General features: G+C 45.8%; 2 protein-coding genes across 5 annotated transcripts in view, besides 3 other annotated features; both read left to right on the top strand.

Annotated features, from left to right (window-relative positions):
* TMEM128 (transmembrane protein 128) lies at window positions 208–12,889 on the top strand. Of its 4 annotated transcripts, none has more exons than NM_001297552.2 (5): window positions 208–325; window positions 2,088–2,229; window positions 7,952–8,110; window positions 10,496–10,604; window positions 12,177–12,889. In NM_001297552.2, exons 1-4 carry the CDS (start codon window positions 229–231, stop codon window positions 10,593–10,595), a joined length of 498 nt encoding a protein of 165 aa, NP_001284481.1. In that variant the 5' UTR covers window positions 208–228; the 3' UTR covers window positions 10,596–10,604; window positions 12,177–12,889. The 4 variants fall into 4 exon arrangements, with proteins under 4 accessions (NP_001284481.1, NP_001284480.1, XP_005248091.1 ...); NM_001297551.2 differs by having other exon boundaries at window positions 12,175–12,889; XM_005248034.4 differs by having other exon boundaries at window positions 11,354–12,889.
* Window positions 240–866: an enhancer, noted in NCBI's record as "H3K27ac hESC enhancer chr4:4249292-4249918 (GRCh37/hg19 assembly coordinates)". NCBI's record gives its function as "activates a minimal SCP1, AML or CMV promoter by ChIP-STARR-seq in primed H9 embryonic stem cells {active_cell/tissue: H9 hESC(primed)}" and the evidence as "EXISTENCE:reporter gene assay evidence [ECO:0000049][PMID:30033119]".
* Window positions 20,510–21,130: an enhancer, noted in NCBI's record as "H3K27ac-H3K4me1 hESC enhancer chr4:4229028-4229648 (GRCh37/hg19 assembly coordinates)". NCBI's record gives its function as "activates a minimal SCP1, AML or CMV promoter by ChIP-STARR-seq in primed H9 embryonic stem cells {active_cell/tissue: H9 hESC(primed)}" and the evidence as "EXISTENCE:reporter gene assay evidence [ECO:0000049][PMID:30033119]".
* OTOP1 (otopetrin 1) overlaps window positions 21,502–24,940 on the top strand; it is a 38,204-nt gene continuing 34,765 nt past the window's right edge. The window contains exon 1 of the mRNA NM_177998.3: window positions 21,502–21,969. Coding sequence (NP_819056.1) covers window positions 21,567–21,969 — 403 coding nt within the window. The 5' untranslated portion in view covers window positions 21,502–21,566. The remainder of the gene's footprint in view (window positions 21,970–24,940) is intronic.
* Window positions 21,752–22,372: an enhancer, noted in NCBI's record as "H3K27ac-H3K4me1 hESC enhancer chr4:4227786-4228406 (GRCh37/hg19 assembly coordinates)". NCBI's record gives its function as "activates a minimal SCP1, AML or CMV promoter by ChIP-STARR-seq in primed H9 embryonic stem cells {active_cell/tissue: H9 hESC(primed)}" and the evidence as "EXISTENCE:reporter gene assay evidence [ECO:0000049][PMID:30033119]".

Raw genomic sequence — 24,940 nt, 5'->3', positions numbered from 1 at the left:
TAAACTTGGGAACTCTTCCACCGGCAAAGCTCAGTGTTTTAAAATTCAAATCACACTTGCCGACATGAGAGCGGAACCTTTGAGGCCGACTCCACCCTAGCTGCTCGCTAACTAAACAGCGAAGAGAACACAGTCTCCAATCCAAACGCCAGGAGGTCCAGACCCGGAGCGGACGCCGGAAGCGCTGTGTCTGACGTCACTTCCGTCGCATTTCGGGGCGGTACCAAGATGGACTCCTCGCGGGCCCGGCAGCAGCTCCGGCGGCGATTCCTCCTCCTGCCGGACGCCGAGGCCCAGCTGGACCGCGAGGGTGACGCCGGGCCGGGTGAGGCGCGCACCAAGCCGCCCCGAGGTTCTCAGAGGCGAGGCGTCGGAAAACGGCCGGCCTCCGGCAGCCCTGGCCCAGTCTGGAAGGACTGAGTTTCGGCTTTGCAAGTCGAATATTTAATGTCAGGGAAGATCCTTAGAATCGCGGAGTGCTGTGCATCGTCATTTCAGCTGCGCTTCAGAATTCTCTGGAGAGCTGATTTGACACCTATTTGGAAATAGCGATTAAAATTAAAAATACCCACCAGTTTTAAGTCTTAAGGATTTACCAGAAACATGCGTGTACCGCAGTGTACAATGATGTGCGCAGTGTTTCACTTCAGGATTGCTTGTAATAGCGAATTACTGGAAATATCTGCCTTGCCCGTCAGCAGAAAGCTGTTTAAGTAAATTTGGGTATATGTATACCTGACACATCAGGTCGACTCGTATGTACCAATGGGGATGATTTTCAAAGGGAAGTGTGGAACACTATGGTATGCCGCCATTTGGGTACAAAACAGGTAACTTGTGATGTATGTTCACCTGTGAATGCATAGAATATGGAAGAATTCAGTAGAAATTGTAAGTGGTGGTTGCTTCTGGGGATTAGATCTGAGGTTAAGGATGGGAGACAGATACTTCATTTTGGATATTTTTTATCTCATATGTTTTAAAACCACGTCCATTTATTACCTTTTAAAATTAAAAACACGAATAACCTCATGCCCAGGCATGATGATGTATACATTTTGAGGATATCCCAGAATATTACGAACATGCTTCCCAGGGTTTCCGATGGTCATCTAAAGGCCCAAAACCTCAGATGTGGACCATTGATTCTCACGTGAACCTAGAGGGCATGTCAGAATCCCCGGAAAACTTAATAGAAATCATCCATCTGACCCAACCCCCATCCACCCATTCTTTCAGATTGCGTTCCAGACAGGAAAAATGTCTTGTCCATCACCTGTCTAGACAGTGCTGTGCTGGAACTAGAGCTCTGGTGTGCCGTTTCCACTTTTGAGCTGTGTTTAAAGTAACTAAAATATTTAGTTATAGGCTGGGCAGGGTAGCTCACGCCTGTAATCCCAGCACTTTGAGAGGCTGAGGCGGGCTGATCACGAGGTCAGGAGTTCGAGACCAACCTGGCCAAATAGAGCAGCCTGGCCAAGATGGTGAAACCCCGTCTCTACTAAAAATACAAAAATTAGCCCGGCGTGGTGGCAGGCGCCTGTAATCCCAGGTACTCGGGAGGCTGAGGCAGGAGAATTGCTTGAACCCGGGAGGCGGTGGTTGCAGTGAGCCGAGATCAAACCATTCCACTCCAACCCGGGCGACAGAGGAAGACTCCGACTCAAAAAAAAAAAATTTAGTTATAAAAGTGTTCTTGGAAGACCACAAGTCCAGTTCATGCGCTAATGTTTGCCTTTGGCATTTTTCCTAATTAACAAGACTAATTACTTTCCTAGAAGAAATGTGAAACATAATATTAAAATTCTTACATTTCCAGGTGACATTGTTATTTCCGAAAGACGATGAAAGTGTAAATTTGATTTCACAATGTATTTAGAGGAAATAAATTGACTGTATTGACCATATTTTATAGTGGGCTCTTATTTTTTGTAAATATAAACCTATCTCAAGGGTTTTACAGAAGGATTTGTTATCATGGGAGAGACTGTTTCTTAGCTCTAGGAAATGATTTTATTTGGCTTAAGTGTAATTTTTCCTCGCAAAATTGTGGTAACTTAATAAGTTGAAATCTCCCTTATTTGCAGAAACCTCCACAGCTGTTGAGAAAAAGGAGAAACCTCTTCCAAGACTTAATATCCATTCTGGATTCTGGATTTTGGCATCCATTGTTGTGACCTATTATGTTGACTTCTTTAAAACCCTTAAAGAAAACTTCCACACTAGCAGGTAAGAAAATTTTATTGCTTTGTAAATTAAACCCAAGTCTGATTTTTCGTGTTATATTTTGTTAGTTGAATTCTTCAAACAGTAAGCACCTACTACTCTCTGCCAGGCCCTGTGTTGGAGGTGTGGTGATACGAAGATGAATATGAGATGGGGGTCAAAGGGTACATATTTTTAGTTATAAGATGAATAAGGTCTGGAGATCTAATGTACATACAGTATAGTGACTATAGTTAATAAGGCTGTATTGTATACTTGAAATTTTCTAAGAGTAGGTCTTGTGTCCTCCCCCTGTTACCCCACCAGTGGTAACTATGTGAGGTGATGAGTGTGATAATTAACTTGATTGTGGTAATAATTTCACAATGTGTGTGTGTGTATATGTATACACGTATATATATATTCATATATATGTATATATGTATATATTCATGTGTGTGTGTATATATATATCAAGTCATCACACTGTATACCTTGAATATATAAAATTTTAATTTGTCAATTGTACTTCAATAAAGCTGGAAAAAATAAAACCAATGAGAGGGTGTGTGCTCTGGGCACATACAGTAGAGTGGAATAGAACTGGAAATTATTTGTGTGCAAATAAATGTGTTGTAGGATGAGGAAGGTAGTAAATTTAAGAAGAACCTAATCCATTTGGGGAAAAGAGGGAGAAAGACTGACTGAAGGTCTTCAAAGACCAAGTACAAGAGTACTGGGAGGAAGAGCCGAGAACTGTGGCCAGTGGGAATTGGGTCTCAGGGTTGGTTTCAGAGGGTGGTTACAGCTGACAAGGTAACTACAGGGTGTAACTGTGTTAGAGTGGAGGTGAAGGTCCACAGTGGGAGGAGTGACAGCTTTGTGGCCAGACCAGATGTCCAGTAGTTCCTCATTCACAGGGACTGAGATCCTTTCAGTATAGTCTCCAGAGTTGACATGGAGGAGAGGGTTGGAATCATATCCTAGGGTCCTTACTGCACATTGGAGAGTGATGTGGAGACCCTTGGATAAGAAATGGAAGGGAGAGGTATGTTGGTGAGCATCATGGCATTGGGAGGGCTGGTGTGCTTAGGGTCAAGAGTAATAATTTGGAAGTACCAGTGGGGGTAGGAAGATGCAGACAGGACTGTGGTCCCCTCGTATCATGGCAGGACACATGATTTCTCCTCAAGGGCCTTCAGGAGGAGCAGTGACTTCTGGCGGAGGAGACTGTCGAGCCACAAGGAAAAAGCCCACAGGGGAAAGTAGGCAGAGGGGAGTTTATTTAAACTGTCCTCTACTTTCTAGGGGAGAAACTTTCCCTAAACACTCCCATCTTCTGCCCCTCCATGTCACTCACTCCTTTGTGGGAGGTGGCGTGACTGATTGAGTGTGTGATGAAGAACTGGACAAAGGTAGCTCAGCACCTTCTTCTGCTGCAAGTCGGCTGCCCATAGGAAGCGCAGAGTCTGGTCTGCCTTCCCATGGTGTCATTCCACAGGGGCAGTCCCCACAGGAAAAGGTCTCTAGGTTTTCATTTTGACCTGGAACCCAGTGGGTAAGGCTGTTTCTGGGTGTCAGAGACCCAGTATTAGGAAGTGCTTTGTCATCACTCACCAAAGCCATATTCTTCCCACGGCTGCATCAGTATAACAGACATTTAATCTTCATCAGCTTGACTCAGTCATCTCTCTTAGAACTTGGGCTGGGAAAAGAGGGATGGATACTTTATTTTTATTTTTATTTTGAGACAGGGTCTCGCTGCACTCTGTCACCCAGGCTGGAGTGTAGTGGTGCGATCATGGCTTGCTGCCTTGACTTCCCAGGCTCAAGTGATCCTCCCACCTCAGCCTCCCAAGTAGCTAGGACTATAGGCGCACACCACCATGCCTGGCTAATTTGGTTTATTTTTTGTAGAGACGAGGTCTCTTCATGTTGCCCAGGCTGGTCTCAAACTTGTGGGCTCCAGTGATCCTCCCACCTTGACTTCCTAAAGTACTGCGATTACAGGTGTGAGCCACTGCACCTGGCTGGAGGGGATGGGTACTTTAACCACCACCAATAGCAGCTGCTCTTTCCTTCATCAGATACTTTATGGAGGCTGAGATGTGTTTGGCTGTCAGTGCCAAACACGTGGAAGGTGCATTTCTAGCTCTCCAACAGCTCATTCTAGGCTGCAGCAGACAAGTTACCAGGCCGCATGGTATGTGCTTTGTAAGTGTAGGCGCAGGGTATCATGGGAGCATCTAGGAGGGATATCTAGTCCAGGTCAGCCTCAGGACTGAGACCTTTTTGAGGTTTTAGGAGATGTGAGAGAACTTCTGTATTTGTGTCCTTATATTGGGTATTTTTAGTAGTTTAGAGAAATGGCAGAGTAAGAAATGATCACACATAAGATATTTGGGGGCAACTGCAGTGAAGTGGAGTGCCCAGGACCACATAACTGCTGTGTGGCAAAGCCGGGACGCAGACACTGGGACCAGGGCTGTGGGGGTTGGAAAGAAAGTAGAAGTCATAGATCTGTCCTCAACAAGGTGTCATCTTAGAGAGAAAAAGGCAGAAATGCATTCTCAAAGGCTGAGGATTTTGAGTCGCATTGTTTTCTTGGGAAGGACTCATTAAGGGGAGTTGGGGGGTATTGAACAGCCATGAAATGAGAGGGCTGCACAAAAGACAGTGCCGGCTGAGTTCTGCTTTTGGAAAATGGCTAAAATGGCTCGTTCTTCTGACGCCTGAGGTGATTTCTTTTTCCTCTGGCTCTAGCCTAAGTTTAGAAGCTTGAGGCCTTAAGGTTCTTTATATTGTTCAAAGATGGGAGAGCAGGTCCATATTAAAAACAAAACAGGCCAGGCGCGGTGGCTCACGCCTGTAATCCCAGCGCTTTGGGAGGCCGAGGCGGGCGGATCACGAGGTCAGGAGATCGAGACCATCCTGGCTAACGCGGTGAAACCCCGTCTCTACTAAAAATACAAAAAACAATTAGCTGGGCATGGTGGCGGGCGCCTGTAGTCCCAGCTACTTGGGAGGCTGAGGCAGAAGAATGGCGTGAACCCAGCAGGTGGAGATTGCAGTGAGCCGAGATCGCGCCACTGCACTCCAGCCTGGGCGACAGAGCGAGACTCCGTCTTAAAAAAATTAAATAAGTAAATAAATAATAACAAAACAACACTGTGATGCTTTAGAAATCACAGTTTAAAATACTCGGCTTGTGTGCATCAAAATCAACAGTGGAGTTAAAGACAGAAAGTAAAATTAAAATCCTAGATGCTCAGGCCCAGAATTTTGGAAACTGGGGACTAGGTAGTTTCTCTTAGAAAGGTGCAAGGTGACTGTGATATAAAGCCAGGGCCGAGGACCACTGACTGATAGTATTATATTTTGTTCAGGCAGTTTAAAAAATTTTCTTAGGCCGGGCATGGTGGCTCATGCCTGTAATCCGAGCACTTTGGGAGGCCAAGGTGGATGGATCACCTGAGGTCAGGAGTTCAAGACCATCCTGGCCAACATGGTGAGACCCCATCTCTACTAAAAATACAAAAATTAGCTGGGTGTGGTGTTGGGCACCTGTAATATCAGCTGCTCAGGAGGCTGAGGCAGGAGGATAGCTTGAACCTGGGAAGTGGAGGTTGCAGTGAGCCGAGATCGTGCCATTGCACTCCAGCCTGGGCAACAACAGCGAGACTCCGTCTCAAAAAAAAAAAATTTTTTTTTTCTCATATCCACATGTTGGCAAAGGAAAAAAATGTCTAAAAAGACTCCTTAGGGGTAATGATAAAAGGCCTTTTTAGACATTTTTTTCCTAATCATTCCTGTGGAATGTGGAATTAGATAAACTATATCATTTATATACTGCATGCATATCTATGCTTTATACATACAATTAGAGCCATATTTTTTTCTTCACTTTGGGGGCGATACTCCCCCCAGTGAGATTGCATGCTCTAGCAGAAGAGAGGTCTTTGAAGACTCCTAAAGATGAACATGGACATTTTTTCCTCATAGATATAACTTGAGTGATGGCTGGGCATGGTGGCTGACCCCTATAATCCCAGCACTTTGGAAGGCTGAGACAGGTGGATCACTTGAGGTCAGGAATTCGAGACCAGCCTGGCCAATATGGACATGGTGAAACCCCATCTCTACTAAAAATACAAAAATTAGCTGGGCGTGGTGGCCAGTGCCTGTAATTCCAGCTACTTGGGAGGCTGAGGCAGGAGAATTGGTGAACCTGGGAGGCGGAGGTTGCAGTGAGCTGAGATTGCAGCACTGCACTCCAGCCTGGGCAACAGAGCAAGACTCCGGCTCAGAAATAAATGAATGAAAATAAAAATAACTTGAGTGGAATAATAATGATTATGATTGAGAGTCAGCTGTGAGGAGCACTTTGCTGACCACTTGATTTAATTCTCACAGCTATTCTGAGTTAAGTACTGTCAATATTTCTGAAACACACGGAGGTTAGGTAATTTGCCTAGAGTCACAAAACTAGTCTTGCTCAAGTTAAGATTCAAACCCATACAGACAGATTTCAGAGGCTGTGCTCTTAACCCCTTCCCTCTACAGCCTCTCATGACTCCGAATCTCAGAATTGCATCATCGTAAAAAGCCTTCATGGAATCCGGAACCTTGCCATTATTGGAAGTTCACTTTGTGCCTTTGTAACTTATCTGTTGTAGCCATCTGTTCTCCCTCTCTCTTCCACATGGATTGTCAGGCTTTTCCCATAGAGAAGCAGATGATGATGGGATATTGGATTGAGTTGGGAGAATGGGAAAGGCATTTCAGTCCCCAAGTCCAGCTGGGGTGGAGGGAAGGGGTTGTCCAGGTTGCCTCACTCTTGCTGAATCAGGTCACAGGTGGAATTGGAAGGGAGTAAAAAGGCATTGGCATTGAGGGTGAGGTGGTGAGTAGAAGATATTTTGAAAATGGGAGGATTTCATTTAGAAATCTTTTATGAGAGAAAATTTGAATTATTGATCTTCCTAATTGTCTTTCAGTATTCCAAGAAAGTCCACTTAACTTGGAGGAATGAAGTTTCCCACTGATAAACTTCTTTAATCCTGTCACACTCAAAACTTCAGAAACAACCAGAAAGCCACTATCTTCCTTGTATTTTTGTTTTTATTTATTTTATTTTTTGAGACAGAGTTTCACTCTTGTTGCCCAGGCACTCCAGGCTGGAGTGCAATGGCGCCATCTCAGCTCATTGCAATCTCTGCCTCCTGGGTTCAGGCGATTCTCCTGCCTCATCCTCCCAAGAAGATTGGATTACAGGCTTGCGCCACCACGCCTGGCTAATTTTGTATTTTTAGTAGAGACAGGATTTCTCCGTGTTGGTCAGGCTGGTCTCGAACTCCTGACCTCAGGTGATCCACCTGCCTCGGCCTTCCAAAGTGTTGGGATTATAGGCATGAGCCACTGCGCCCGGCCTCTTCCTTGTATTTTTAAAGAAAATGCATTGTCATGACCAGAATTTTCCCTTGGTTGGTTGGCTGATGAGAGTGTATATATAAATGCATGTATTTCAAGTCTTACTTTTCATTCTTTCCTGAGTTGTGTATCTCTTTTTCTCACCCCCATCTCCCATAGATTGAGACTTTCTGAAAGCATGGATTGTTTAAGTATGGCTCCCTCTGCAACACTTGATATTCTTAGAAGCAGATTTTTAAGCTATTAGTAAAAACTTTTAAGATATGTGACGATTCATTAAGTGCTGTCAGACCTCTTACTGTTTTTATCTCCACAGCTGGTTTCTCTGTGGCAGTGCCTTGTTGCTTGTCAGTTTATCAATTGCATTTTACTGCATAGTCTACCTGGAATGGTATTGTGGAATTGGAGAATATGATGTCAAGTATCCAGCCTTGATACCCATTACCACTGCCTCCTTTATTGCAGCAGGAATTTGGTAAGTTAACTTTGAAATGACTAACAGGAATGAACAACAAATTTTTTTTTTGATCAGATAGTGATATGCTTGGTCCAAACTTCGAAAGAAAAAAAGTTAAAACAGAAAAATAGTCTCCTGGTCATTCATGCTCTCTGGTTCCCTTTTGATTAGTATCTCTTTCTCCTTCTATTTATGGATCTAGTTATTTAAAGCACAGATGGTGACATTCTGTACATATTCTGCATTTTGCTTTTTAAATCTATTTTATTATGACATACAGTACATATAGAAAAGTGAAAAAAACTGAGATGAATGAATTAGTGAATGAATTCTCATGAAGTGAGCATTGGTGTAAACTGAGCCAGCACACTGGGAACCCCCTTCATTCTCCCTCCCAGTTACTACACCTTCCCTCCTGCCACAGGTAAATACTGCCCTGACCTTCATGGTAACTACTTGCTTTGCTTCCATTAGATATTCTATTTTTGTTTCAGCTACGCTTTTGAACTTTATAGAAATGGATTTGTACAGGGTGTATTCCTTCACATTGAGCTGGCTGTGTGCAGCATTGTGTGCAGTTCTTTCATATTGTCGCCGGGAACAGTGACTCATCTTCATTGCTCTTTAGCATTCCATTGTTTAATTGAATCCCAGTTTTCTTTTCCCTTGTTGATTGTGTTTAGATTTTTTTCAGTTTGGGGTTACTATGAAGGATGCTATAAAGAGCATTCTTGTACATGGCTCTTGTAGCACAGTGAACACATTTCTGTTGGGTGTAGAGATGTATGTATATATGTATATATATGTACCCCAAGGGGTAAAATTGTTGGATGTACGTACCTTTGACTTCAGTAAATCATGCCAAACTGCTTTCCAAAGTGGTTGTTTGTCCTTTTCTCCTTTTGTTTTTCAGTGGATCCTTATAGTTTGGGATTCTTCCATAATGGTACATATAGATGTGTCTCATTTTTTTAAACAGTTGCATAGTTTTCACAGCATGGACATAACATGATTTATTTAACCTGTCTTCTGTTGTTGGACTTCGTTATATTTATACCCAAACAATGCCACAATGAATAACCTTCTTCATAAGTTAATTAAATACTCAATGAAAAATACAGGGTTTTTTGGGTTTATAAAAGTAATACTTGCTCACTGAGGAAAAAAAATCTGTAAATTACATGAAAACACAAAGGAAATATATCCTATGATTCAACCAGAAAGAAAACTACTTTTCCTATGTTGTGTGCAGCTCTCTAGTTTTTTCTTTCTTTATATCAATTGGATTTTTTTTTCTTTTTGGAGATAGGGTCTCACTGTGTCACCCAGGCCGGAGTGCAGTGGCATGATCACAGCTCACTGCAGCCTCGACTTCCCAGGCTTAAGTGATCCTCCTGCCTCACTCAGCCTCCCGAGTAGTTGGGACCACAGGCATGTGTCACCACATCTGGCTATTTTTTGTATTTTTTGTAGAGATGGGGTTTCGCTGTGCTGCTCAGGCAGGTCTCAAACTCCTGGCCTCAAGCCATCTGCTTGTGTTGGCCTCCCAAAGTGCTGGATTACAGGCGTGCGCCACCACCCCCGGCCTAATTGAATTTTTATTTTGGAAGAACCATATACCTTTATACATATTCTTTCTATGACTTATTTTCTGTAGTTGAAGTTCAAGGTTGTTTGACAGTGTGATGTGGTTATTGTTAACCTGTATGTGGGGGCATGCAGATACGTTGTTTTACTTTTTCCCATGAGGGTAAGATCATGTCCAGAAATGTTAATTTTTTAGACAGTGTGATTTGTGATTATAGTTATTTAATACTCATACTTATCAAACTATTATATATTAAAACCAATAACCATCTGAACTTATTTGAATATAGTTTTCCCTATTCTGTTCTTAGAAATTTCAGTCATTAAAAATCTTTATACTTAGTGTTTTAATTTTACTTTGATGACAGGAATAGTGTTTTTCTCAATGAAAGATATAATAGCAGCTTATAAGTGATAACTGTTTTCATTCTGTTTTTAAGAGACAATATTTTGGTCTTTTTTACCATGATAGTTTAGTGTGTGATGTCATAAAAATGGGCTGTAGCCATTTAAATTATTGTTGAAGTCAGAAACTAAGAGACTTCAGTTTCTATTAAGCCATGTCAACCCCTATTAGGAGACCTTTAGTGGTTCCAGTTCCAGGGCCTTCTTGAAGAAATTGTGATACTTGTTTAAGTATATCTAGAGTTTTCCTTTCCAGCATTGGCTAAGTCACATACTTGAGAAATATGATACATAGAGAAAGTTGCTGACTGGATGAACTTTTCTACATTGAATACTTTAAATCTGGATTCTAGAATAAAATATATTGATGCATATTGGAGTTGTCAACTGTTTATGTCTTGTTCTTTTCAGCTTCAACATTGCTTTATGGCATGTGTGGTCGTTTTTCACTCCATTGTTGTTGTTTACCCAGTTTATGGGGGTTGTCATGTTTATCACACTCCTTGGATGATTTCCGAAGGTAAGATATCTGGAGTGGTTTTTCTAAAAATGAACTCGTTTGAAAAATGTCTTTTATGACAATTTTCAGTGGATGGAGCTGTAACAGACTATTTGTGAATTATTTTCAGTCATGTTTACACCAGAGTTGTCCACACTAGAATTATCCATTCATTGAACTCTGAGATAGACTCCTTTTTGTTTTGAGACAGCTTCTCACTCTGTTGTCCAGGCTGGAGTACGGTGGCATGATCACAGCTCACTGCAGCCTTGACCACTTGGGGGCTCAAGCAATCCTCCCACCTCAGTTTCCCAAGTAGCTGGTATTATAAGCATGTGCTACCATGCTTGGCTAATTTTTAAAAATTTTTTTGTAGAAACAGAGTCTCCTTATGTTGCCCAGGCTGGCGGGGGTTGGGGGCTGAGACTCTTTCTTTTGTAAAAGTTGGTTCTAAGTGACTACTTTTTAGAGAAGGTACCCTGCCTTTCAAAGACCTCATAAAGACAGGATTTGTACCTTCCAATATAGTTGAATTCACACATTAGACCATTTTATGTTGAAATTATATTAATTTGTGTCAGCTTATATTCAGTGACTGTTGGCTGGATCATTCTTAAGAAATGGGAATACAGGAAGAATGAACAATTTTACCTAATTGGGAAAAAAAATTCTGCCATCTTCTAATTATTCTGACTTCCTCATAAAAATGTGTTGGATGACACAATCAGCTTTCGTTTGGTGTTATTTATAGAATTTCTGCCTCCCTACAGATCACCCCATCCTGAGATCTGCTGCCTTACACAGTGGAGGCTGTTTTCTGAGTGTCGGATAACTCTGTTATTAAATAAGTGTATATTGAGAATACTCACTCCAGATGCTTAGGGGCATGGTGAGAAGGACAAAGATAGTGCCTCCTGTCAGGTCACTTACATCAGAACTTGCAGGAAACCTGCTTTATACAGCAGTTGACAGGTGTGGAAACTGAAGCTCATGGAAATAAAAGTTAATACGCTAAATTTTCAAGGAGTTAATGAAAACTGACATTTCTGCTAAAAACAGCATGTTCTCCCTGTGGGATTTTAAAGGAAGGTCAGTGGTAACTGTGTAAAGAAGAAATGGACATACTCTCATTGTTAGCAGTCTGAAAATAGTTGCTAGCACCTCCATGCCCACGCCAATGTCTCCAGCCTCCTTCAGGCACCTTGCTGTGTCTTGGGACCACTGGGAACCCTCACAGGAGGCCCTTCATTCCTGTACACCTGTGGTGCCACAAGCGGCTTTGGGCCCGGAGGAATCCTACACATCTCAGAACACTTCCTCACCTGACCCTGTCACCCATCTCCCCTTCTCGTGTTCTCAGCCCCTTCTTTGACTCTTGAATTTTGAGTTTTTACAGATGTTTGGGAGCTCTTACTCTGACATGAAGTTATAATTGGTAATGGAGACTCAGACAATGTTGTAGATTACAGAGTGAACTATGCTTTTTAGTGTTAAATGCAATAGCTTGAGATACAATGTTTTACTTGGTACATAAATGCTGGTTTTCTTTCAGATTTAAGGACATACACTTTTTTTTTTTTTTTTTTTTAAGAGACAGGGTCTTCTATGTTGCCCAGGCTGTCTTTGAACTCCTGGGATCAAGTGATCCTCCTGCCTCAGCCTTCGAAGTAGTTGGGACTACAGGCCCACGCCACCGTGCCTGGCTGGACATGTAAATTTGAAGTGAATGGTTAAACATCCAGCTAGCTGAAAGCATGGCAGACCCTAACAGAAAAGCTACAGTGTGTTTTTGCAGCTATGAAGTGAATGGTTTCCTGGGGAAAATTGTGACTTTGTATAACTGTTGTTGAAACCAGAATAAATTATATTTCACTTGCATATGCATAAATTATTAAAATTTTCAGAAGTCAGTGATACAGAAGTACTATTTTGCAATGTTAATCTGTTTGAGTCTTTGGAGAAAGTGGTTTCATTGTAGGTACATAGTGCACTGTTAATATTTTAAACAAGTAGTTCACTCTTCCATTTAAGGGATAGCAGTTCCTTGTATAAAATGACTGGATGTGTATAAAGGAATTATGTTGTCATGTGCCTTTAACCAGCTTTAGTAATTACTATAATCTCATATTTATGATAGTTTTGTTAGGTGACAGGACCAAATGAAAATATTTTATGTTTTCTCATCACTTTAGATTTTATCATTATGTACATTACTGGGTTTTTAGCATTTCCTAATGTGAAGTTTTAATCACTTTTAAGTATACATTTTTTTCTGTATCATTTAAATAAAATATTTTTATAACTTTCTTGTGAGTTTTGTTCATGCGAACTTTGGAATAACTTCTGGTTTTTAGCTATTAGCACTTTGAATTAACTGTAGCAATAACAAGGGCTAACTCTGTTCTTCAAAGACCTTATAAAGACAGTATTTGCACTTTCAAATGCCAATATGTCTACATTAAATCTAAGCAGCATAAGCATTGTGACAGAATGTATCTCATGTTGATTGTTTTCTCTGTAAGGTGACTTCTAATAATGACCTGACTTAATCACCACTTGTGTCTGGTTCAGATCATACCCTGCCATTTACTAGCTGCAAGACCTTCAGTAGTACAGGTTTAGTATCCCTAATTTCAAAATCTGAAACTTTTTGATGACTGACGTGACACTCAAAGGAAATGCTCATTGGAGCATTTTGGGTTTTGGAATATAATGCAAATATTCCAAAATCCAAAACACTTCTGGTCCCAAGCATTTCAGAGAAGGGGTAGTCAGACTGTAATCTTTTTTCAGCTGTGAAGTGGGAACGATATCTGTCTTGTAGGGTTGTGCGTAATAGTAATAATGTTTGTAAAACACCAATTACAGTGCCTGACACAGTAGGTGTCCACTCAATAAATGGTAATGGAGAGGGAAAGAAAGGGAAAGCAGGATCTAGGATCAGGAATATCACATCCGGTCATGATGTCTGCAAAGGGGAAAGGCATGATGAGTAGACAGAAGCAAACCCAGTTTGTGGTCATGGGTATGTGAAGGTGTGGCGAGAGTGTCATTTAAAATAGGGAGCAAGGCCAGGCAAAGGCCACAATCAGGCAGCCTAGTCAGGCAGTGATTAATCAGGCAGTGATGTGAGGGTCTGGTACAACTGAGGCTGCAGCCCTGGAAGGTAGGGCATTTGGATCAGACTCCCTGGAGGGAGCTTGGGTGGAGAGTGCCCCAGTGTCAGCCTTCACACATTTTATATCTTTTTTTTTTTTTTTCTTGAAGAGTATGTTTACAACATGGATAGAAATCTAAGGCTGGGATGTGTTTAAAACAATTAGTTAAAACCCAGTTTCCCAAGAGCTAATAACTGGCCAATTAGGATGGTATGAAGATTATCCTATTACTTAAAAAAAGACTTTGAGACAGAGTCTTTAACTTGTCATAACATGTCTGAACAGGATCTAGTTTGAGACACTAAGAAGGATAAGACATCAGTTTGAGAAGAGACCACATCAGTGCAACATGAATTCTGCTAAAATCGAAGCAAGCACAAACATCAATTTATTGTGAGGCTTGGGTGAAAAAATGGTGAAATCACTAATGCTTCATGAAAAGTTTATAGGAACAATGCCCCAAAGAAATCAACAGCTTACAAATGAATAACTTGTTTTGAGAAGGTATGAGATGATGTTGAAGAGGAAGCCCTCAGTGAGAGACCCTACACATGAATCTTTGAGGAAAAAATTAATCTTGTTTATGCCCTAATCAAAGAGGACTGATGATTAACAGCAGTTAGCAATAGCAGAAACAATAGACAGTGTCAGAGACGTCTCAATTGGTTCAGGTTACACAATTCTGACTGAAAGCAAACTTTCCACTTGATGGGCGCCAAAACTGTTGTGCCCAGATCAGTTGCAAACAACAGCAGAGCTTTCAATGGAAATTTAAACAAGTGGGATCAAGATCCTGAAGCATTTGTTCAAAAAGTTGCAACAGGATATGAAACATGGATTTCCTAGTACTATCCTGAAGACAAAGCACAATCAAAGTAATGGCTACCAAGAAGTGGAAGCGGGTCAGTCAAAGCAAAAGGAGACCAGTCAAGAGCACAGGTCATGGCAACAGTATTTTGGGGCTCAAGGCACTTTGCTTGTTGACTTTCAGGAGGACCAAAGAATGGTAACATCTGCTTATTATGAGAGGGTTTTGAGGAAGCCAAAGCTTTAGCAAAAAATTCTTGGGAAAGCTTCAGGAGAGTCCTCCTCCACCATGACAGTGCTTCTGCTTATTCCTCTCATCAAGGGCAATTTTGGGAGAATTTTGATGGGAAATCATTACAGTCCTGATTTGGCTCCTCCTAACTTCTTTTTGTTTCCTAATCTTAAAAAATCTGTAGAGGGTACCCTTTTATCTTCAGTTAATGTGTAAAAGACTGCATTGGTATGGTGAAATTCTCAGGACCTTCAGTTCCTTAGGGGTGGGCTAAATGGCTGTAGCCTGACTTATAGAAGTGTCTTGAACTTGATGGAGCTTATGTTGAGACATAAAGTGTATATTTTCCATTCATTTTTTCCAAGTTTTGAAGTCCAAGGGTACATGTGGAATGGCTAGATTGAGTTCATTAATCAATGCATTACTTTGCATACTTATTTTTTGTGGTGAGATTTCTTAAAATCTATTCTTCACAATTTTCAAAATGCTATAAATTGTTATTAACTATAGTTACTGTGCTGTACAATAGATCTCTTGAACATACCCTTCTTACTTAACTGAAATTTTGTACCCTTTGACCAACATCTCCCAAACCCCCAATTCCCCCTGCTGCCCAGCTCCTGGCAGCCACTATTCTACTCTCTACCTATATGACCTCAGCTTTTTTAGATCTACATGTAAATGAGATCATGTGGCATTTGTCTTTCTGTGCTTGGCTTATGTCACTTAACATAGTATCTTCCAGGTTCATATCCATATTTTTGCAAATGTCAGGATTTCTTTTTTTTTTCTTTTTTGAGACAGGGTCTGGCTCAGTCACCGAGGCTGGAGTGCAGTGGCACAATCTCAGCTCGCTGAAACCTGGACCTCCCAGGCTCAAATGATCCTCCTACCTCAGCCTCCCAAGTAGCTGGGACTACAGGTGCGCCCCACTGGGTCTGGCTAATTTTTTTTTTTTTTTTTTTTTTTTTGGAGACAGAGTTTCACTCTTGTTGCCCAGGCTGGAGTGCAATGGCGCGATCTTGGCTCACCCACAACCTCTGCCTCCCGGGTTCAAGTGATTATCCTGCCTCAGCCTCCTGAGTAGTTGGGATTACAGGCATTTTTAATAGAGACGGGGTTTCTGCATGTTGGTCAGGCTGGTCTCAAACTCCCGACCTCAGGTGATCCACCCGCCTCAGCCTCCCACAGTGCTGGGATTACAGGCTTGAGCCGCCGCACTCAGCATTTTTTTTTTTTTTTTTTTTTTTGTAGAGTTGAGGTTTTGCCATGTTGCCCAGCTAGTCTTGAACTCCTGGGCCCAAGCGGTCCACCCACCGTGGCCTCCCAAAGTGTTGGGTTTACAAGCATGAGCCATTGTGCCTGGCCATTTCCTTCTTTTTAAGGCTGAATAGTATTCTGCTGTGTATGTATACAATGTGTATACATACACACATTTTCTTTGTCCATTCATCCATTGATGGATGCATAGGTTAATTCCATATCTTGACTATCATTTGTGTGTTATGGATTTAATTTTTGCTCACCAGAAGATCTGTTGAAATCCTAACCCCTGGTACCTCTGATTGTGGCCCTATTTGGAAATGCAGTGTTTGTAGATTTAATTAAGATGTAAATTATAGTGAAGTCATACTGGAGTAGGTTGGGCCCTTAACCCATTATGACTGGTGTCTTTATAAGAAGAGGAAAAGAGGCACAGATGCAGAGGAAAGATGGTCAAGTGACAACAGAGGCAAAGATTGGAGTGATATAGCCACAAGCCAAGGAATGCTAAGGGTTGCCAGCAACAAGCAGAAACTGGAAGAGGCTGGTGAGGACCCCCCGTTGGAGCCTTCAGAGGGAACTTGGCTTTTCGGACATCTAGATTTTGGACTTCTGGCCTCCCAAACTGTGACAGAATAAATTTTCATTGTTTTAAAGCCACCCAGTTAGTGGCACTTTGTTACACCCATCCTAAGAAATGAATACACTTGGCTGTGCACAGTGGCTCACACCTGTAATCCCAGCACTTTGGGAGGCTGAGGTGGGTGGATCACAAGGTCAGGAGTTCGAGACCAGCCTGGCCAGCATGGTGAAACCCCATCTCTACTAAAAATACAAAAAATTAGCCAGGCATGCTGGTGTGCACCTGTAATCCCAGCTACTCGGGAGGCTGAGTCAGGAGAATCACTTGAACCCACGAGGCAAAGGTTGCAGTGAGCCAAGATCAGGCCACTGCATTCCAGCCTAGGCGATAGATTGAGACTCTGTCTCAAAAAAGGAAAAGAACAGAAACGAATACACTAACTCTTTTGTTCTTAAAAATACTGGGATTACATAGCTACCACCAAAGGTGACTGGGAGCAAAATGTTCTAATTGTCCCTTGGGACCTTCTATTGTCTCCGGTAGTTGAGTGTGCCAGTGGGCCTCTGGCCCTGTGAAATCCCATTATCTTCACTGGAAGAAGGGAGCCCATGCGATCATTAAAAAGGAAACAACAGGCGCTGGAGAGGATGTGGAGAAATAGGAACACTTTTACCCTGTTGGTGGGAGCGTAAACTAGTTCAACCATTGTGGAAGACAGTGTGGCGATTCCTCAAACATCTAGAACTAGAAATACCATTTGACCTGGTGGTTTCATTACTGGGTATACCCAAAGGATTATAAATCATGCTACTATAAAGACACCTGCACATGTATGATTATTGCAGCACTATTCACAATAGCAAAGACTTGGAACCAACCCAAATGTCCATCAATGATAGACTAGATAAAGAAAATATGGCACATATACTCCATGGAATACTATGCAGCCATAAAAAGGATGAGTTCATGTCCTTTGTAGGGACATGGATGAAGCTGGAAACCATCATTCTGAGCAAACTATCGCAAGGACAAAAAACCAAACACCGCATGTTCTCACTCATAGGTGGGAATTGAACAATGAGAATACTTGGACACAAGAAGGGGAACATCACACACTGGGGCCTCTTGTGGGGTGGGGTGGGGAGGGATAGCATTAGGAGAAATACCTAATGTAGATGACGAGTTAATGGGTGCAGCACACCAACATGGCACATGTATACATATGTAACAAATCTGCACGTTGTGCACATGTACCCTAGAACTTAAAGTATTAAAAAAAAAAAAAGAAAAAAAGGAAGGGAGCCTGTGTCCGAGGGCAGCATGCCTCCCCATCCATCTGCGTGGTACTGAATCATCACTGGGAGGCAGCTGCCTGGTCAGGACATTTCCAGCTTTTACACTGATTGAGCCATGCCACACAGCTCTCAGGACACAGTGTGGGCAGGGGTAAGATGCGCCAAATGTGGTGAAAACAGCAGGCCTGGATGCCACCAGAGCATCGTTTCTGACCCCTTGTATCTGCCCACCACGGAGCAGGGGTCAGTCGTAAGAAACTGGGGGCCCCGTGTAGCTCAGACTTTTGAAAAAAATCTCACCGGTGGAAGATAGAACACAGTGTGGGTAAATCTCTCAGTTTTATTTTATGTATTTATTGAGATGGAGTCTCACTCTGTCATCCAGGCTGGAGTCCAGTGGCACAATCTTGGCTCACTGCAACCTCTGCCTCTGCCTCTGCCTCCTGGGTTCAAGAGATTCTCCTGCCTCAGCCTCTCAAGTAGCTGGGATTACAGGTGCGCACCACCACGCTGGCTAATTTTTGTATTTTTAGTAGAGACGGTGTTTCACCATGTTGGCCAGGCTAGTCTCGAACTCCTGACCTCAAGTGATCTGCCTCGACCTCCCAAAGTGCTGGGATTACAGGCTCTCAGTGAGTTTTAACATTGTCTTGAGATTACAATAAAGGGGGCTGACTTTAGCCTCCAGAAACTTTCATTTCATTGCTTCTTAAAAAAATGCAGGCCAGGTGGGGTGGCTCATGCTGGTAATTCCAGCACTTTGGGAGGCCAAGGGGTGGATCACGAGGTCAGGAGTTAAGACCAGGCTAGCCAGCATGGGGAAACCGCACCTCTACTAAAAATACAGAAATTAGCCGGGCATGGTGGCAGGCGCCTGTAATCCCAGCTACTCGGGAGGCTGAGGCAGGAGAATCGCTTGAACTCAGGAGGCAGAGGTTGCAGTGAGCTGAGATGATTGTGCCACTGCACTCCAGCTTGGGTAACAGAGTGAGACTCCATCTCAAAAAACCAACCAACCAACCAAACAAACAAACAAAAAAGTGCAGGTAGCCCAGAGACAGGCATTCCACTTGATTTTCAGATGGTGACTGAGCTTTATTTATCTTTGTACTCAACGGGTTAAGGTACTGCTAGCTGCTGTAACATTTCAGACTTTGGTGGCTTAGCACAATGGAAGTTTATTTCTCACTGATGTAAGGTCCAGCTTCGGGAGGAAAAGCCGCCTCACTAGTCACTGGGGAGACACGCAGACAGGCTCTTCCATCTTCAGCTCAGGCTCCCAGGTTGCTCTGGCTGTTGGTAGGAAGAGGAGGGGAGAAGGTGGAGGGTCCCTAGTAGGTTTGCTGGATCTTCTCTCTGGATTGCCTTTCCAGACCCCTGCTCCCTTCCGCCTGACCATCCACTCCTAAGCCTAAAGAATGTGCAGGAGGCTGGACGTGGTAGCTGGAGCCTGTGATCCCAGTGCTTTGGGAGGCTGAGGTAGGAGGATGGCTTGAGCCCAGGAGTTTGAGATCAACCTGAGCAACATAGTGAGACCCGTCTCTACAAAAAAACAATTTAAAAAAAATGAGCCAGGCGTGGTAGCACACACCTGTAGTCCCAGCTATTCGGGAGGCTGAGGCGGGAGGAGCACTTGAGCCCCAGAATTCGAGGCTGTAGTGAGCCATAATCACACCACTTCATTCCAGCCTGGGAGACACAGGGAGACCCTGTCCTTATTAAAAGATAAAAATAAGAGAAAGAAAGAAAGAAAGAAGACTGTGCAGGTGTTGCCTCCTCCCTGAACCTCTCAGCCTTCCTGCAGACCTGGACTCCTCCCAGGCCCCTGGTTGTAGCCCTGCTCAAGGGTGTTGTGCTGCTTACTCTGTCCCCACTCCCAAGCTCTTAGAAGTTGAGGGCTAAGTCTCACAGGTCATGATCCCCAGCTTCCCAGTGAGGGCTCATTAGCTGTTTGTTTATTGCTGTTTCTCTACCTGAACATCAGCTCCACCTGAGCAGAGCCTTTCATAGCTGAAAACCCAGCTGCTAGAACAGAGAGCAGCAAATGATTCATAGGTCAACACATACATATGTGTTGATCAAATGCATGAATGCGTGAATTGGAAGAATGATGGTGGCAAGGTAAGGTCCCCCAGGTTGACTCCTTGCTAGCCCAGGACTCCCCACCCCTCCTTTACTAGTCAGGACCTGCTATTGCAATTTGCTGCGCTTAGCGCAAAACAAAAACATGGGCCCTCTTGTTCAAAAATTAAGAATTTCAAGACGGCAAGAACCTTAAACCAAGAGCGAGAGGGTGTCTTCCGGGCCCAGCCCCGGGCTGCTGCACGGTGGGATGTGGGCTTGCCCCAGGCTCGCTCCCAACTCCCCTCTCCAACCTGCGGCTGGGGGGCTGGGGTCCGGCGCCTCCTGTCAGCCACGCCAGACCCGTAGAACGCTCTTCAGCTGAAACTTCCCAGACCTCCACTTAGCGGCACCCGAGCGGGGCTCCCTGGCAGACTCAGTCCCCTTCCGGGAGCAGGCGGGTGCCAGGCGGGCACCGGGGCTTTGGAAGGGGCTAGTGAAGACGCTTGGGCGCCGGTAGCAACAGGGCAGACCCCGGGGCGTCCCTCATTCCAGCTCCTCTGGGTCCAGAACGGCTGCCGCTCCTTTGGGGGAGGGTGCGGGATGGTCTCTTTTCTTAGAAAGTGGCTCAGGTCTTATTCTGCGCCTGGGCATCTCGCAGCCGACACACAGGCACACCAGACGGACAAACAGAAAAACCCACAGAAGGCGGCCCCTCCCCCAATTCAGAGAGCCAGTGACGGGCGCTCCTCCACCCCTAACCAGACACACCCGATAACAGACGGCCAGACACAGAGTGACCCGCACAGAGAAGACAATACAGAAATACGCAGGGACGAGTACAGACCGTCGGACGCTCGGACACGGACGCAGGCAGGATCCCCTGGACCTCTGGGTTCCCCAACGGAGACCCTCGGGGAAGGCCCGGAGCATCGCAAGCCCCTGTGGAGCCCCGGACGCCCCGCTTGGCAGCAGCCACGCCCCCCGCGCACACCCCCCTCGGGCTGGCTCCGGGAGACCCCCTCTCCCCAGTCCCGCAACCCCGGGACCCCGGCAGGCACTTCTTGTCACCCAGCGTTTCCGGGGCGCCCGGACAGGGGCTGGGTGGGCGGGCGTCGGCTCAGGGGTGAGGGCTGCAGACGGCGGGCGGGGGCCGGGCGCGCGGGCGGAGGTGCGGGAGGACGCGCTAGTGTCGCGGCAGGGCTGGCCAGTGTCCCAGGGATCAGGAGCGGGGAGCTGTCCGCGTGGGTCCCGGAGGGGGCAGATGGCTGCCCCGGGCGTTGCCCAGTGAGGGGCAGCGGGCAAGGGAGCTCGTAGAATCCCAGGTCAGCAGGGTGGGGCGCTGGGTAAGTGGACAGGGTGGTACCTTGACGGAGGACGAAGGGGCAGAAGAGGGGAGGGCGGGCGTCGGGAGGTGACAGGAGAGGGGGCAGGTTGGCAGGGGCGTGGGGTAGGAATCGGAAGGGAGTTGAAAAGGGAGGTGCTGGTTGGCAGAGGCGTCGGGGCAAGGACAGGAGCCAGGAGCGCAGGCGGGGCCCGACGGCAGCCACCCCCGGGACCAGACTTGGCGCGGGTGTCTCGAAGATGCTCGAGGGCCTGGGGTCGCCCGCCTCGCCCCGGGCAGCTGCAAGCGCCTCGGTCGCAGGGTCGTCGGGGCCAGCGGCCTGCTCGCCTCCCTCGTCCTCGGCCCCGAGGTCCCCGGAATCCCCGGCCCCCCGGCGGGGCGGTGTGCGCGCCAGCGTCCCACAGAAACTGGCCGAGATGCTGAGCAGCCAGTATGGGCTGATCGTGTTCGTGGCGGGGCTGCTGCTGCTGCTGGCCTGGGCCGTGCACGCCGCGGGCGTGAGCAAGAGCGACCTGCTGTGCTTCCTGACGGCGCTCATGCTGCTGCAGCTGCTGTGGATGCTGTGGTACGTGGGCCGCAGCTCCGCGCACCGCCGCCTCTTCCGCCTCAAGGACACGCACGCGGGTGCCGGCTGGCTGCGCGGTGAGTCCAGGCGCCGGGCGAGCGGGTCTCCGCCTCCTCGCCCGCTGGCTGCATCCTGAGGCTGCTCTGCGCCCTTCCTACCGCTGCCGTCTTCCCTTCAGCCTTTTCTGCCTTGGTCTCTCTGTGCATCTTTCCTAGCTTTCCTGTCTGCCCTTCCTTTCCTCTCTCTCTCTCTGAAGCTTGGGTCGCCGCAGGAGCCTCCTCTCCGCCTCCAGACGCTTCCATCATTACAGCCACAGTTACAGAAACCTCTCTTGTCCTTCCCTGACTTAAAGCCATGCAGTGGCCCTACTGACCCCATGATGGAGGCCACGCTCCCTCTCCTGACACTCAGAGCCTTCTAGCACTCGGCCCCCGAGGGCCCGTTTCCTTTGATCCCCTCCTTTGTTCTCATCCTGTGCTGGGGTCATTCTCGCGAACTTTCTCGCCCATCGCAGGACCTCTGCCTCTGCACATTCGGCACCTTCGGTTCTCTCCTCCAGGAATGTCTTTTCCACTTTCCCACCTGCCCCTCTGCTTTCCGAGACAGGGCTCAGGCCTCACCCCATTCTCCCCGCGAAGCTTCTCCGACCCCCTTCTCCTCCCGGCTTTGCAGGTCTGACCACATGCCCCCAGCCCGCACTGGGCTCCAGTGTTCTTGTCAACATGTCTGTACCCTCCACTCCACTGGGGAGCTCTGTGATCCCTGTCTCTCGGTCCTAGAGCCACCTCAGGGCCTGGCACGAAGTGGGTGTTGAGAAAATGAGGGGGTATGAATGAAATAATGAATGCGTGGATGCAGGGTGGGGCAAAGAGGGATAGAGGCTCCTGCTGGTACTCACAGGCATTGGCTGAAATTGTCAAGATAGGAGCTCTTTCTTCCTCAAGGGGCTGCCACATTTTTTTTTTTTTTTTTGAGACAATGTTGCTCTATCTCCCAGGCTGGAGTGCAGTGGCACAATCACAGCTCACTACAGCCTCTTCCTCCTGGGCTCAAGCAATCCTCCCACTTCAGCCTCCTGAATAGCTGGAACTATAGACACACATGGCCTTGCCCAGCTAAGTTTTGTTATATTTTGTACAGATAGGGCCTCGTTGTGTTGTCTCCTTTTCTCAAACTCCTGGCCTCCAGGGATCCTCCTGCCTTGGCCTCCCAAAATGCTGGGATCACAGGCATGAACCACTGTGCCTGGCTGGGGCTGCCAGTCTTGAATGGGAGACAGACATGGTGCAGGTGAAAGGGAGGAGGCCATGGGGAGCATGCTTGTGAAGAAAGCTTCTGTCTGAGTAACCTTCCCAGGAGAGGCCAAGTGCATTTCACACCACGTGGTCCAGGCACATCACACATTGCCACTTGGACTCTCATATTAGACCTGAATTTAAATCTCCATTAGAGTGGGGCTTCCGTGTTCCTTGCATGCATGACCTTGGGCAAGTTACCTGATTGCCTTCCTTACCCTGAACCCTGGTTTCAGCATCTGTAGAATGGGGATCTCAAACTGGATAAGATCCAGTGACTGATGAGGTGGCTGCCCAGCACACACTAGGCCTCCTTTCCACATTTCTTTCAAAGGTCCTGGCCAGATGCCACCTTCTTCACAAATGCCTGGCAGGAATTACTCCTCACTTCTATGGGCCACCATGGCCCCCTTTCTGTAAAGCTCTTTTGGTCCTTGTCCGTTTCTGCCTTGTATTATGACTGTTGGATATTAGCCTTACCATCCAGAAGAGATTTTAGACTTCTTAGGCTCAGGGACTGGATCTAGTTCATCTTGCTTTTGGGGAAATTTGACACCATTGCAGCGTGGCCCAAATTCCTGTTCTGAAAATGGTTGTTTTAGGGAAGTTAATGGTTTTGTGACTCTGTGAATGACAGTGAATCTGGTGCTATTTAAAACAAGGCACAAAGTGTTATTTTAGGATATTGACTTACACAGGCTAAAAAGTATTATACACATGAGCCTTTACCTGTGTTTTCCTATAGTCAAAGCCCCTTTTTTGTTCCTTCTTTCTCTCCTCCATCCTTTTTTCTCCCTTCTTCCTTCCCTCCTTCTCCTTTCCTTTCTTCCTCCTCCCTCCCTCCCTATTCCCTCGCCTTCCCTCCTCTCTGCCTTTCCTTCTTTATTTTTTTTTTTTGAGATGGAGTCTTGCCCTGTCGCCCAGGCTGGAGTGCAATGGTGCGATCTCGGCTCACTGCAACCTCCACCTCCCGGGTTCAAACGATTCTCCTGCCTCAGCCTCCCAAGTAGCTGGGATTATAGGCGCCTGCAACTATGCCCAGCTATTTTTTGTATCTTTAGTAGAGACGGGGTTTCATCATGTTGGCCAGACTGGTCTCAAACTCCTGACCTCGTGATCTGCCTGCCTCAGCCTCCCAAAGTGCTGGGATTACAGGTGTGAGCCACCATGCCTGGCCTCCCTTTCCTTATTTTTTTCCTCATTTTCTTTCTCTCTTCTCCTCCTTCATCTTTCCTTCCTCTCTTCCTTCCTCCATCCTTCTCTCCACTGTCCCTCTTCCCTCTCTCTCTCCTCTCTTTCTCTTCCTTCCTCTCTTCCTCTCTCCCCTGCTGTTTTTGTTTTTGTTTTTGTTTTTGAGATGGAATCTCACTCTGTTGCCAAGGCTGGAGTCATGGGTCACTGCGACCTCCACTTCCTGGGTTCAAGTGATTCTCCTGCCTCAGCCTCCTGAGTAGCTGGGACTACAGGTGCACATGCCACCACACCCAGCTAATTTTTGTATTTTTTAGTAGAGACAGTGTTTCACCATGTTGGCCAGGTTGGTCTCAAACTCCTGAGCTCAGGTTATCTGCCTGCCTTTGCCTCCCAAAGTGCTGAGATTACAGGCATGGGCCACCACGCCCGGCCTGGTGCATTTAGAATGTTCCTCCTTCTCCTTCTCCTTCTGCTCCTCCTTCTTCTTTTTTTCTACTCAGTCTGTGCTTATCCAAGAAATGCTCTTCCTTATGTTGAAGTGCAGTTAACTTCCTAGAAC

This window comes from Homo sapiens, chromosome 4, assembly GCF_000001405.40.
Source record: "Homo sapiens chromosome 4, GRCh38.p14 Primary Assembly".
Taxonomy (NCBI): Eukaryota; Metazoa; Chordata; class Mammalia; order Primates; family Hominidae; genus Homo; species Homo sapiens.
Note: the sequence above shows the minus strand (reverse complement) of the source record. Positions and strands in the feature narration are given on the sequence as shown.